The sequence below is a fragment of the Homo sapiens genome, chromosome 6 (assembly GCF_000001405.40).
Source record: "Homo sapiens chromosome 6, GRCh38.p14 Primary Assembly".
NCBI classification, from domain to species: domain Eukaryota; kingdom Metazoa; phylum Chordata; class Mammalia; order Primates; family Hominidae; genus Homo; species Homo sapiens.
In genome coordinates this window covers 170115217-170130064 of record NC_000006.12, presented here as the reverse complement: position 1 = coordinate 170130064, position 14848 = coordinate 170115217, and the positions used below count along the sequence as shown (strand labels likewise).

Sequence of the window (14848 nt, the reverse complement as noted above, 5' to 3'; positions counted from 1 at the left end):
GAGCAGCTGGCTCTGCGCCAGGCTGGCCGGCTCTATGCTGGGGACTGGCTTAGAGCACACTGGGCTCCCACACCCTGCACAGCTGGGCTGCTCACAGCAGCTATGAATAGAACGCAACATTCAGAGATGCTTCCAGGCCCTGCGGGCGGGTGTGGGAACAAGGAGGCAGGTGGAGTTCTGGCCACGAGAAGCAATACAGGCAGAGCCACCCTGACCTCCCAGGTCCTTGCACGGTGTGCACAGAGCGTGGCTGTGCTCGTGGCCATTTCACTGATGCTGCCTCACAGGGTGGGATTATCTGGTGGGACTAGGGGAGGCATTGCAACTGTGTTGCCATTTTACTGAGAAGAAAATGGAAACCGGAGGGGTTGGGGGACTTGTCTGGAGTTGCAGGGCCTGGGACAGGGCATTGCCAGGTCTTCTGACCCTGAGCCCCAGGTGATTCTGTCCACACTTGACAGGTGGGATGGAGGGGCTGCTCCAGCAGGGCTGGCAGCCAGGAGTGCAAGAAGGGTGCGGGGCTCTGAGCCCAGGTGGCCCTGGGGTGGACAAGGACGGCATCCCGTGCCCAGACCCGAGGTCCGCCCGGCTCTTCCTCCTCACCCCTCTGCAGAGCAGGATGTGAGTGGTTCTGGGAGGGTGACTTTTCTGTGCATTTTACTGTGTTTTGCTGCCCCCGCCCCCAAATGTGAAGCGACTCCCAGGGTGAGAATCCATTCTCCCAAGGAGAATTGGGGAAATTCCCAGCACCCTGCAAGGAGCACCTGCCAAAGAACGAGCCACTGAGCCAGTGCGATGGGCAGGGGCGCAGGTGTGAAGGGCCCCGGCTGCTGCTGCTTCGGCTCTGCCATGCGGCGTCTGCTGCGGCCGGGGTGTCGGCCATCGTGTGGGCCCCAAGCCTGTGCCTGAGATGAGGGTCCTGGAGAAGCCTGGCTCTGCCATGTTCAGCTCAGGGATGGCACTTGTGCCCCACTGCAGCTAAGACTGAACTTGGGAAGGCATTCACGACGGCCTAGTATCAAGGTCTCGAGCATCCCGGAGGAGGCGAGGCTGCAAGCATCGTGTAGACGCCTGAGACCTGCGGGGCAGGGCCCGCTGTCACCAGGTCACAGAGGGAGCAGCGCTCACGGGGCTGAGGCCCCTGCACGTGGGGCGTTCGGGGGCCAGGGCATGCCCCCCAACCCGCCTGCTTCCTGGGACCCTCCTTGCAGCCTGAGGCTGCTCTTCTACCCTCCAAGCCTTGGTTGGCTTCTGCCTGCCCACGGCAGGGCTCCCCTGGACCAGGGAGGCAAAGAGGAGAACTCCCGATTGCAGCCTGTTCCTTCTCATCTGAACAGTGCGCATTTTCACGTTTTCTGAGGACTGCGTTAGTTCAGCCATGCACAACCGCCCACTGTGGGGAATGCACACCCAGGCAAAGCCACAGTCAGGCTGTGAGGACCACCTACAGCATCCTCCACCTGCACTCCTGGACTCAGGTGATCCTCCCACCTCAGTCTCCTGAGTAGCCGGACCACCGGTGCAGACTACTATGACTGGCTCATTTTTTAAATGTTTTTGTAGAGATGGAGTCCCACTATGTTCCCCAGGCTCGTCTCGAGCTCCTGGGCTCAAGCGCACCTCCCGCTGTGGCCTCCCAAAGTGTTGGGATTACAAGTGTGTCACCACACCTGGCCCCAAAAGATGTATGTTTTATTAATACAATGCCTTTGCAAAAGAATTCAAATCTCTCTCTGAAATCTCACCATAGGGGGAAAAGCTGTCCTAAATACTGCATTTCTTTCCAGATTTTCAACACACATGTAAAATACAAGCTAAATATTTACTATAAATGACAAACTACGTATTTACTGCAAGTTACATCATTTATACATTTTACTCTATAATATTTTTGTTTTTGTGTTTTTCTGACTGTGGAAGTAATAAATGCTTACTGTAAAATATTTAAGCTACTCTAAAATAAAGAAAATTAAACAAAAATACCATAGTCACATCCCCCAAAACAATTCTTATACGTGGTTTGGTGTGCAGCCTTGCAGACTTTTCCTATGCATAACAACACACATTATTTATTTTACAGAAATGGTTTAGAGTAAACATTTTATTATAAAATCTGCTTTTCTCATAACTTGTCATGTCCAGCTTTGGATACTGTAACACACAGGTTTGCCTGGTTCTTTCTTAAGGGTGCGTGTACTGCATTTCTTAGTGCACGTGGTTGCCTAGGTTTTCTGTATTTTCACAATTATGATTAATATTGCATAATATTATTCTCATGCATCTATGCTCAAGTTATGCATATCCTTCCACAGCAAAAATTTCTGGAAGTGGACCTGCTAGGTCAAGAGCAATGAGCACTGAATACCTTGATGGTTATTGTTAAAGGTTCTTCACATCGGACGCACCAGCTTAGACTCTCGTTAGCAGACGGTTCCAGTTTCTCTGTTAGCACCTCAATGCTGGAAAATATTGATCATTTCCAACTTTGTTAATATGATAGGATGAAAGTTACTCATGGTACCAATCTCTGTTGCGCATAACAATCCACCAAAACCCTTAATGCTTTCAGAGCCATGGCCATTTTGGCTGGGCTCAGCTGGGCAGCTCTTCCACCGGTCTCATCTGCAGAGCTCAAGCTCCGGGTGTCTGGGGGATTGGCTGGGGCTGGTCTTGGCTCTGCCCCATGCAGTCTAAGTGGGTCTTGACTGAGACGGCCTGGCTGTGCTCCATGAGGTCTCTCATTCTCTAGGAGGCAAATCCCAGTGCTCCACACACGTTTCTGTCCGTCAGGTTTTCTGACACCATACCGGCTAAGGGCCCATATCTCCATAAGAGAGGGCTGCACAGGAAGCATGGTTCCCTGTGGGGACTGTGCTATTGCTGCACGAATCTACCACACTGGCGATTTCAGTATATGAAACTGCATTTCTTTTTTTTTTTTTTTGAGATGGAGTCTCGCTCTGTCGCCCAGGCTGGAGTGCAATGGCATGATCTCGGCTTACTGCAACCTCCGCCTCCTGGGTTTAAGCAATTCTTCCACCTCAGCCTCCCGAGTAGCTGGGAGGCACCGCCACCACGCCTGGCTAATTTTTGTATTTTTAGTAGAGATGGGGTTTCACCTTATTGGTCACGCTGGTCTCAGACTCCTGACCTCAAGTGATCCACCCGCCTCGGCCTCCTAAGCGTTCCTTTCATTACTAGTGAGGGTGTAGCATATTTTCATGCAGTTATATATAGCTTTTGGTTGTCTTTTCCAGTGACATTTATACCTTTGGCTTACTTTTTGTCACACTGCCTCTTTCTTGTCAATTTGCATGAGCTGTTTCTATTTTTGTCATGTTGCATGTTGTCTCACTGACCTAGTCTTGGGAGTCACTCTTCGTTATTTCTGCAACGTCCTTCCAGTTACACCAGCGAGGCTTACTTAGTGTGGGAGGGACGCGAGCTCCAAGGATCAGGGACTGTGAGGCTGTCTGTGAGGCTGGCTACCACGGAAGTTGCAAATAGGGATGATTTTCCTACTTTTGTTCCTTATCTTCTGACCTTTAACAGGTCATTTTCTACAGATCTGTCAGTCTTTTTATTTGTACTTTTTAAATTGGTATTTTGCTAAGGAAGGCCTTCTTTACCTCAAGATTGTAAAAATTCTGGGGAATCTTTGAGAACAAGCATCCGAGAGTCATTTTTCTGATCTTTCTTCATTTGCACTGGAGTGGCGATGCCAGGCTCTCAGAGGGTGTCCCATGCACGATTTCTCCTCACCCTCGGAACAAACCTAGCAGGTAAGTATTTTCACCATTCCCAATTTAAGTCTGGGGAAACTAAGGCTCAGGGCCGTAAATGAACTCACTTGGGGTCAGAAGGTGGGCAGGAGGCAGACCTGGGACCACTGCCGATCCCTCAGCAGGCAGGCCTTTGTGTGTTCAGATGCTCCCCCGAGCCCTGTCGTGCGTTCAGATGCTCCGCCGAGCCCTGTCGTGCGTTCAGATGCTCTCCCGAGCCCTGTCGTGCGTTCAGATGCTCTCCTGAGCCCTGTCGTGCATTCAGATGCTCCCTCGAGCCCTGTCGTGTGTTCAGATGCTCTCCTGAGCCCTGGGCTCTCCTTGTGGTGACTGTGGGGTCCTCGCTCTTCTCCCAGCTGGACGAGGAGGAGCAGGGCCAGGTACTTTTGCCTCCACTTTCCCAGATGGAGGGGCTTCCAGGCCCCCAGGGCTCTACAGACTCCTGGCTCCAAGAAGCCTTGACTGCGGAGAACCTCAGCTGTGCCTCCACGAGGGCTACGATGCTGGCCCTGAGCGTCTTCTCTGTAGGTCCCTGGCCAGTTGGAGCACAGCAGCTGGAGAAGCTGATTCCAGCACTCACCGACCCTTGCTCATGTTATTGTGAAGCTTTCATTGAAATGGCATCTGGTGCCATGTCCCACAGCCAGCCAGGCCGCGTTGCTCCCCTCTGCTTCAGATCAGAGGCTGTGATCCCAGATGTGCATTTGGACCAACTGAGAAATGCCTGCAGCAACTCGTAAGCCTGGATACCCCACCTCCGAGGCACATTCAGCAGCTCTGGGGTGGGGCCAGGCCTGTGAAGAGTTCAAAGCCTCTGCAAGGCAGATTTACCAGGAAACCAAGGCAGTTTCAACCTCCTCATTTCTTATTTGCACAGGTCTTTTCTCAGGCTGTAGTAATTTTACATTCATAATTTGGAATTGTTCTCTCACGAAGAGACTTCTGAGCTATACACGTTTCAGGGCCTCTGAAACACCAATCTGCTGCTGCCTTTAGGTAACAAAATCACTTTAGATTTTTCTTTTTGTCACTTAAATTTCTTCTTCCAACCATAGCCTAGAGTAGGCAGGACAAACAGTTTTGATCATGTTAATTTTAGATAACTTGGTCAGAGCTTCCTGCAGTGCTGTGTTGAGAAGGGTTCTGAGGGGCTGTGCTCAGCAGGAAAGAAGGCCGAGGTTGACCGGGAATGGGTGACGTGGGCGTGGGTGGGGAGGTGGAGCCTGGCTGTCAGGTAGTTACATGCCTGCTGGGCAGGAGAATTTTGTTTACCTTTTTTACATTCCATAGATCAGAAGTTGGCAAATTTTTACCTGTGAAGGGCCAGACAGGAAGTATTCCAGGCTCTGCCGTGACTCTTCAACTGCTGTTGTAGCTGAAAGCAGAAACAGATAATAGAAGAATGTTTGTTCCAATAATGTTTTACTTATAAAAACAAGCTGCCAGCTGCGTTTGGCCCACACAGTATAGTTTGCTGACCTTTGTTATAGACTACTGGGATAATCCCTTATCCAATAGGATATTCATGAGCAAACTAAACAATTTATATGAAATTGAGTTTATCTCAGACAGAAAGATTTTATATTCTAAAGGAAGTTTATTTATCTCAGACCTATTTAAATATCTAAATGTATAAAACAGACCTGATCATGATTATTCACAGTAAAAGGAGTTTTGCTTTGCAAAAATATGCATCATTTGTTATCATTTAGCACTTGTTCTCCCAACATGAGATGCCTGTTTACCACTTCACCAGGAGCCTGAGAGGCAGGGAGACCAAATCTAAAAGCTTTGGACCCTTACAATTTATTGGCCAACCAGAACTAAAATAAAGGCAGTTTCAATGCAAGTCAATGAGAAAATAATTTAATTCCACCACCAAAATTCAATTTTCAAAGCTGCATCTGGGTTTGGCTCTGATGAGATGCAGTCATTGCACCATTCCACCCTCACAGGGGATGCGGCTACTGACCTGTACAGAGGCACGGAGCAGCTGCTGAGGGGCTCTGAAAAGCAAGTCATTGCAGGGAGATTGGAGGAGACCAGAGCCCAAATCTCTCCAGTAGGTAGTGAGTTTACCTTTTTCCCCTTCAGTACTCCTGGCTTTAACTGGACATAGCCTCAAACTCAATAGGGACACAGGATAGATGGAGAGAACCCCATGAGAAGCCCTAGTCCTGGCTCACAGAGCAGAAAAGGGGACCCCTAACACTCACACAGAGCGGGGGTCTCATTTTTATTGTTTCCACTTTTTCTGTTCCCTGTGCCGCAGCCCCAGCTGTCCATGAAGGCTGCTGTGGTGCCAGCAGCAGGAGTAACCCACAGGGCTCTCTGAAGAGTTTACCTTCCTCTCTGACTTCAGAGATGAGATCCCAGGAGGGCTTGCAAACCTATGGGGCATTACGGAAGGGCTAATATTTGTGTCATGGAAATCAAATAGGAGAGAAGAAAGAGTGAATGAGGCAAATGGAGAAATATATACATACATATGTATATATATTTTCTTTTTTTCTTGAGATGGAGTCTTCTTTTTTTTTGAGACAGAGTCTTGCTCTGTCACCCAGGCTGGAGTGCCGTGGTGCGATCTCGGCTCACTGCAGCCTCTACCTCCCAGGTTCAAGCAATTCTTCTGCCTTGGCCTCCCAAGTAGCTGGGACTACAGGCGCGTGCCACCATGCCTGGCTAATTTTTTTTTGTGTGTGTATTTTTAGTAGAGGCGGGGTTTCACCATGTTGTCTAGGATGGTCTTGATCTTCTGACCTCGTGATTTGCCCGCCTCGGCCTCCCAAAGTGCTGGGATTACAGGCAAAAGCCACCGTGCCCGGCCGAGATGGAGTCTTGCTCTCTTGCTCAGCCTGGAGTGCAGTGGGGCAGTCTCGGCTCACTGCAACCTCCACCTCCCGGGTTCAGATGATTCTCCTGCCTCAGCCTCTGGAGCAGCTGGGACTACAGGTGTGTGCCACCACACCCAGCTAATTTTTGTGTTTTTAGTAGAGACAGGGTTTCACCATATTGGCCAGGCTGGTCTCAAACTCATGGCCTCATGATCCACCTGCCTCGGCCTCCCAAAATGCTAGGATTACAGGTGTGAGCCACCATGCCCTGCTAGAGAAATATTTTTAATGCTGCAAAACAAATTACCACAGCTTAGTGGCTTAAAACAACACCCATTTATTATTTTGTTTTCTGTGGGTCAGAAATCTGGATATGGCTTAGCTGGATTCTCTGCTCAGGGTCTCATGTAGCTGAAATCAAGATCAGGGCTATGTTTATTGGAAACTCAGGGTCTTGGAAACTCCAAGCTCACATGGTGGTGAAGTAATTCAGTTCTTGCATCTGTAGAACTGAGGTCCCATTTCCTTGCTGGCTCTGAGCTGGGCTCTGCTCTCAGTTGCCAGAGAATGCCTGCATTCCTCACCCTCCTCCCTTTATCTTCAAAGTCATCAAGGGAGACTCTCCCTTATGTTGAATAACATTCATGCTTCCAGTATTTCCAGGAAGAGCCAAATTCCTTTCTAAGGGTTCACTTGATTATGTCAGGCTCATCCAGGATAACCTCCGTTTCCTAAAGTCAAATGATTTGGGCTTCAATTACACTTCAGAATCCCTTCATAGCAGCACTTAGATGAATGTTTGATTGAATAACTAAAAGAAGATGTGTGTATACCAGGGAGTGGGAATCTAGGGAGCCACAATAAAATTCTGTCTACCACATAAATAATAGCTGAAAACTTCCCAAATTGACAAAAGATGTAATATGCACATTCAAGAAGATAAGTGAACCTCAAACAGGATAACCTAAAAATCCATGCCGAGACACATTATAATTAAATTTCTGAAAACTAAAGACAAAGAAAAAAATACTGAAGGCAACCAGGGAGAAATGACACCTTACCTATAGTAGAAAAACAATTATAATAACAGTGAATTTCTCATAAGAAACTATGCAGAGCAGAAGGAAGTAGCATATTTTTTCAAGTGCCAAAAGAAAACAACTGTCAATACAGAACTCTACATTTGATGAAAATATTATTCAAAATAAAAGTAAAATAAAGCATTTTCAGGTGAAAGAAACAAAGAGAATATTTGCCACCAGATCTGCTTTAAAGGAATTGTTAAAGGAAGTACTTTAGACAGAAAGGAAATGGTACCAGAAAAAAATCAGAACCTTGGTAGTTAAGGAAGAGCATCAGAAATGGTAAATATATGAGTAAATATGATAGACATTTCTCCTCTGGAGTTCTTTAAATTATATTTTATAAAAGCAAAAATTATAACATTGTCTCATAGAGGTTTCAATGTATATAGGTGTAATACAACATAAAAGCAGAGGGTAAAGGAGTCCATATGGTGACAAGACTTGTATGCTCCACTTGAAGTGGCAAAATGTTGATCCTAAATAGAATGTGAAAAGTTAAGTATGTACACTGTAATCTGTAGAACAACCACTAATAACACTAGTCAAAAAGATATGGTAAAAACACAATAGGTAAATGGAATTGTAAGAAAAGGTCAGATAACCCCCAAGAAGTCAGGGGAAGGGAAGCAAAATGATCAAAAACACAGGAAACAAATGGAAAACAAACAGTAAACTCATAGATCTAAATGCAAACATATCAATGTTTAGACTACATTAAATGTTAATGATCTAAACAAATTAATTGAAAGACAGAGATTATTTTAAAAAGTTAAAAAAAGACCCAACTGTATGTTGTCTACAAGAAACTCCCTTCAAATATTATGATATAGATAGGTTAAAAGTAAAAAAAAATTAGAAAACTATTCAAAGGAAACACCAATTAAAAGAGAGTTTGAGTGGCTATATTAATCTTAGACAAAGTAGACTTCAAAGAAAGCTTCCAGGGATAAAAAAGAATATTTTGTAATAGTAAAAAGTTCAATTAACCAAGCAGACTTAACAATCCTATATATGTATGTACATTACATATCTACAGTTTCAAAATACATGAAATAAAAACAGAACTGAAAATAGAAATGCACAAATTCACAATTATAATTGTAGACTTCAACACCTTAATAATTGATAGAACTAATAGACTAAAAATGTGGGAGAATACAGAACTGAATAGCAACATCCACCAACTGGATCTAAATAGGCATTATAGAGCACTCTACTGAATAAGAGAATACATGTTGTATTTGAGTTCACAGTAATCAAGATAGACCATATCCTGAATCAAAAACAAATCTTAAGACATTGAAAAGAGTTGAAATCCAGTACATTCTCTGACCATAATGGTGTTAAAATAGATGTCAGTACAAAGAGATACCTGAAGATCTCCAAACACTTCAAAAATCAAACAAAACACTTCTAAATAATCCTTGGATTAAAAAAAGTCTCAAGAGAAATTAGAATATATTAGAAGTCTTTATGAAAACAAAAATACATGTATTAAAACTTGTGGGTTGCAGCTAATGCAGTATTTACAGGGAAAAATATAGCATTGAATGCTTCTATTGGAAAAGAAAAAAGAAGTCAGAACAATACATTTCAAATCTAACAGCTGAGAAAAAGAAGGACCAAAACAAAACAAAACAAAATACAATGAAAAACCAAAGGTAAAACCTTAATGAATTAATATAAGAGCAGAAATACAACTGGAAACAGAAAAACAATATAGAAAAATGTGTGAAACAAAAAAATCAGTCATTTGAATTGATTAATTGATCAAAGCTCTTGCAACACTGACAAAAGAAAAAAATAGAGAAGACACAAATATCAATATCTGGAACAAAAGAGGGGACAACACAACAGAACCTACAGACATTAAGAGGATAAAAAGGGGAATGCTATGAACTCCAAACCCAGACAATTTCACTGGCAAATTCTACCAAATTCTACCAAAAATGTAAATAGAAAATAACATCAGTTATACACAATCTCTTCCAGAAAATATAAGAAGAAAAATTTTCCAACTCCTTTTATGAGGCTGATATTTCTCTGATAACTAAAACCAGACAAAAACAGTGTGAGAAAATAAAACTACACATGAATGTCTCTTATGAATATAGATTTTAAAATCCTCAACAGAAATTAATTCTACTTGGTGTGTATATTATTTATATATTATATCATGTATATAAATAATATATGACAAAGTAGAATTTTATTGCTGGAATGCAAGGCTGGTTCAATAGTTGAAAATCAATTGACATAATCCATAATATTAACAGCTGAAGAAGAAAAATCACACAATAATACCAATTGGTACATTGCAATCATTTGACAACATTTAATATTCATTCATGACAAAAACTCTCAGCAAATCAAGAATAGCAGGAAATGTCCACATTCTGATAAGAAACATCTCGAAAAGGAAACCCTACAGATAACTTCATATTTACTGGTGAAAGACTGAATGTTTTCCACAAAGATTGGGAAGAAGGCAAGGATATCCACTCGTCCTCCTATTCAATATTGTACTGGAAGCTCTAGTCAGGGAAGTAAAAGGCATGCAGATTAAAAAAAAAGGAACAAAGCAGTTCCTATTCATAGACAATATGATATTGTACACTATAAAATCCTAAAAAATTCATGAAAAGTCCCCTAGAACTAATATGTGAGTTTAGCAAGTTTGTAGACTATAAGATCAACAAACATAAATCAATCTTAATTCTATATATTAGCAATGAATAATTGGCAACTGAAATTAAAATAAAAATATCACCTAAAATAGCACAAAAATAAAATATTTGATTATAAATCTAACTCTCTCTATATATATAGGATCTATATGCTGAAAACTACGAGGTGATGATGAATGATGAAAACAATGAAAGATCACCTAAATAAATGAAGAGACATACTGTACTTATCAATTGGAAAACTCAGCATAGTAAACATGTCAATTCTCCCCAAATTAACCTTCATATTTAATGCAATTTCAATAAAATCCCAGCTAGATTTTTGTATTATATAAGGAAGATGATTCTAAAATTTATACAGAACAACAAAAAATTAGAATACTCAAGGCCGAGGTGAGCGGATCATGAGGTCGGGTGATTGAGACCATCCTGACCAACACCATGAAACCCAGTCTCTACTAAAAATACAAAAAATTAGCCGGGTGTGGTAGCGGGCACCTGTAGTCTCAGCTACTTGGGAGGCTGAGGCAGGAGAATGGCGTGAACCCGGGAGGTGGAGCTTGCAGTGAGCCGAGATCGCGCCACTGCACTTCAGCCTGGGCAACAGAGTGAGACTCTGTCTCAAAAAAAAAAAAAAAAAAAAAAAAAAACTAGAATACTCAAAACAATTTTGGAAAAGAATAAAGTTGAAGGAACCACTCCATTTTAAGGGCTATAATAATTAAGACAGTATGATATTGACAAAGACAGTCACACGCCTGTGACTGGGCTGATGGGGCAGAATAGGTAGTCCAGAAATAGACCCACACAGTTATGGCTAGTCGTGGCCATAACAACAGAGGTTTAAGGCAATTCAGTGGAAACAGGATTTCAACAAATGCTCTTGGAACAATTGGACATCCATTTGCAGAAAAGTGAATATTGACTTAAACCTCAACCTTATAGAAAATTAATACAAAATATGTCATAGACCTGAATGCAAAAGGTAAACTGTAAAACTTTTAGAAGAAAACATAGGAGAAAATCTTCATAACTTGGGGTTAGTCCAAGAGTTCTTAAACACACACCAAAACTACAATCCATAAAATAACTGATAAATTGGACTTCATTAAAATGAAAACATTTTCTGTGAAAGACAGTGTTAGAAAATGAAAGGACAAGTTACAGAGTGGGAGAAAATATGTTCAAAGCACATATCCAACAAAGGGCTTGTCTTCAACATATAAAGAACTCTCAAAACTCAATAGTAAGAAACCAAACAACCTGGTCAAAAAAAAAAAGAGCAAAATATTTGCATAGACACTTCACCAAGAGATCACAAATGTGGCAAATACACGTAGGAAAAGGTGTTTAACATCACAAGCCTTCAGGGAAATGTACATCGGAGCATGAGGGGCTCCTGCTGTGCAGCCATTCAAATGACTAAAATAAAAAATGCTGACAACACTCACTGTTGAGAAAGATGCAGAGAAGTGGGAACGCTCACACTTCCTCGTGGGAATGTAGAATGGAAAACAGTTTGGCAGTTTCTTATAAACATAAACATACCATGTGATTCATCAATCCCAGTCCTTAGTATCTTCTGTAGAGAAATGAAACTTTACGTTAATCTAAAAACCTGCACACAAATATTGACAGCAGCTGTATTCATAAACTGTTTTCCAGTTTGGCAAAAACTGGAAGCAACTCAAATGTCCTTCGATGGGCGAAAGGATAAAGGAACGGGCCCCTCCATGCCGTGGAATACCTCTCAGCAGCGAGGAGACAGTGTGGTTGAAACCCAAGGCCTTTTGCTGAAGGAAGGCAGGCAGTTTCTGAGGTGGCATTCCATCATCCCACCTCCGTGACTTTCTCTGGAGAAGGGGTCAGGGCCAGGGCTTCGGAGGGGCTGGTGTGTGACTGAGGAGAGGGGGTCAGGGCCAGGGCCTTGGAGGGGCTGGTGTGTCACTGCGGAGAGGGGGTCAGGGCCAGGGCCTTGGAGGGGCTGGTGTGTGACTGAGGAGAGGGGTTACTGTGGGGTTTGGGGCATTGGGATGTACCCTGCCCTCATTGTGGTTGTGGCCGCTGAAATCTACACAGGAGTTAAAATCCACAGAACTGCGAACCGTGGGGCGTTGCCTTGTGTTGTCTGTTTACCACAAGGAAGCAAGCCTGTGTCTGTGGCTGTTTCTAGGTCTGCCGTCCAGACGGAGAACCAGAGTCCTCAATTAGGAGGTGCTGTGGGGAGTGGGTCCCAGACCGAGGGAGGCAGGAGGCCTGTGTTGGGGCTGCGCTGAGCAAGGGGGCTGGGCCTGTGTGACTTCTGTCTGGTGGGCGAGCTGTGCTGGGCCACGGCCCTCGGAGGGAGGCTGGCAGCTTCCTCCCATGCTCCCTGCCTCCTGTACAATGGAGGAGGCTGAGGGCGGCTGTGCTGGGAAACGCTCATTCCTGACCTATGGGCCTGGCCACCCCAGCCTGGGTTCTGGACCCTGGAAAGCCCCGTGCCCTGTAGCTGGGGAGGGTGAGCTCTTGGGGCATGAGGGCAGCTCCTTCTGGATTGTTAAGTGGAGGAAGCAACAGTTTCATTTGACAGAAATGTTCTCTGAAGGGGAGTGCATGGAAAATGCTTGGACAACTCATGTCACTGGAAAAATAAGGGCTCCTTCCCTTCAGCCCAGGACTGGCCTCTCCTGGGCCCTTAGAAAGCACCATGGCCTTTCCTCAGAGTCCTGGCGGCTGTCACCCACCAGGAAAAGCGCCTGAGTGGCCCAGGTCTGATGGGCAGATAGCTTTGCTCTTGTTTGCTGAGGTTAGAGACTTCCTGGAAATCCCCCAGCCTCCTGCTCTTCCTCCTGGAACTCAGCCCCAGCGCCGATGGGGACGTTGCAGCCTGGGCTCTGGAGCTAGTCCCATCCTGCTAGCCCTTCTTAACACAGCCATTACCTCCCAGAGAAAGGAGCTCAGACCCAGCGGGAAGCAAGGAGGGAGGGAGCTACCAACACTGCTGTGACCAGCATTTCCCTAGGGCAAAGCAGCACTAGGAATGAGACCATAATCCCGCACAACAAACACGCCCACACCTTTTTTTTTTTTTTTTTTTTGAGACAGTCTCACTCTGTCACCAGGCTGGAGTGCAGTGGCGCGATCTCGGCTCACTGCAACCTCTGCTTCCGGGGTTCAAGCGATTCTCCTGCCTCAGCCTCCTGAGTAGTTGGGACTACAGGCACGCCACCACACCCAGCTAATTTTTGTATTTTTAGTAGAGATGGAGTTTCACCATGTCGGCCAGGATGGTCTCGATCTCCTGACCTCGTGATCCACCCACCTCGGCCTCCCAAAGTGCTGGGATTACAGGCGTGAGCCACCCTGCCCAGCCTACACACCCACACTTCTATGACATTTGCAGAAATAGAGCTGGCTAGCGGTGGGGACCATAGAATGATCGATTGAAGCAGAAGACAGTCGTCGTTGTTATTGGAATGATTTCCAGATGGAGCTCTTCATTACTGTTGCAGAGCTCAAGTACAGAAACATCCCATTTCAGTCAAGCTGATGTTGACCTGGGAGCCTGCATTGTTCCAACAGCGTCTAGCTTGTCTTAAGTCTTGGTAATGGCAATTGCTGTTACCACGCAAAGGCACCCCGGATAGCACTGGAATTTTCAGGTGGTATCTTGTGAGGTAGATTCTGATTAAGACTTCATAATTTTGAAATCTGAATTTCATTATGTATTAATGCTGCCTCAGAAATCCAATCTTGGCTTTCTTTCCCGTCATTGGATAGAGATGGTGCTGAATGCATTCTTTGGAAATACCCACAGTCTGTAAAAATTGTGTGCGATGCTTCAAAGGGTACAACGTGTCCACATGGGTTCTTTGGTTTGAATCCATCCTCCTGAAACCAAACACTGTGTTTACAAAACAGAAGATTTTCTCCTCCATTTCCTGTTCCTGCAGTTCATGGCCTCTCGCTGAGCACGCCCTGTGCTGGGGATAGGGAGGCCTCCCCCAGGGCTCAGTGAAGGCTGGATGTTCCAAACGCCTGCTGGCTAGACGGGAGACCTGGAGGATGTGGATGGGCGGGTTTCCAGGGCCGGGCACGTTTCCAGGTTGCCATCAGCCCCAGATATCCAGCCCTGGGGTGGTGGCCCCTCCCCAGCATCCGAGGCCCAGGGCCCTGTGTGAGCTCAGGAGAAGCCTGATGCCAAGGTGAGAGTAGGAACCTGCGGAGGGCCTTTCTCATCAGGCAGTGCCAGCCCTGCAAATGGTTTATCTCATTTAATTGTTATAGCAACCCTTAGACGGAGTGCAGACTGTGCCCCTGTGTTTCCAGGAAGAGCACCAGGGTTTAGGGGCTACATAACTTGCTGAGTCAGCCAGGTAGTGGGGCAGAGCTGGGAGTCAGACTCTGAAAGCAGAGGCTTCAGCTCACATGCTTGGCCACAGCTGTGTGCTCCTGCTGTGGGATGCTGGGTCTGGAGG

The 14848-nt window shown here is 45.1% G+C and overlaps 4 annotated features.

Annotated features, from left to right (window-relative positions):
* Nucleotides 522–1022: an enhancer, noted in NCBI's record as "H3K4me1 hESC enhancer chr6:170444267-170444767 (GRCh37/hg19 assembly coordinates)". NCBI's record gives its function as "activates a minimal SCP1, AML or CMV promoter by ChIP-STARR-seq in naive H9 embryonic stem cells {active_cell/tissue: H9 hESC(naive)}" and the evidence as "EXISTENCE:reporter gene assay evidence [ECO:0000049][PMID:30033119]".
* Nucleotides 1023–1523: an enhancer, noted in NCBI's record as "H3K4me1 hESC enhancer chr6:170443766-170444266 (GRCh37/hg19 assembly coordinates)". NCBI's record gives its function as "activates a minimal SCP1, AML or CMV promoter by ChIP-STARR-seq in naive H9 embryonic stem cells {active_cell/tissue: H9 hESC(naive)}" and the evidence as "EXISTENCE:reporter gene assay evidence [ECO:0000049][PMID:30033119]".
* Nucleotides 3463–4662: an enhancer, noted in NCBI's record as "BRD4-independent group 4 enhancer chr6:170440627-170441826 (GRCh37/hg19 assembly coordinates)". NCBI's record gives its function as "activates an origin of replication core promoter dependent on BRD2, P300/CBP, MED14 and CDK7 cofactors, and independent of BRD4, by STARR-seq in HCT116 cells {active_cell/tissue: HCT116}" and the evidence as "EXISTENCE:reporter gene assay evidence [ECO:0000049][PMID:35650434]".
* Nucleotides 12199–12834: an enhancer, noted in NCBI's record as "H3K27ac-H3K4me1 hESC enhancer chr6:170432455-170433090 (GRCh37/hg19 assembly coordinates)". NCBI's record gives its function as "activates a minimal SCP1, AML or CMV promoter by ChIP-STARR-seq in primed H9 embryonic stem cells {active_cell/tissue: H9 hESC(primed)}" and the evidence as "EXISTENCE:reporter gene assay evidence [ECO:0000049][PMID:30033119]".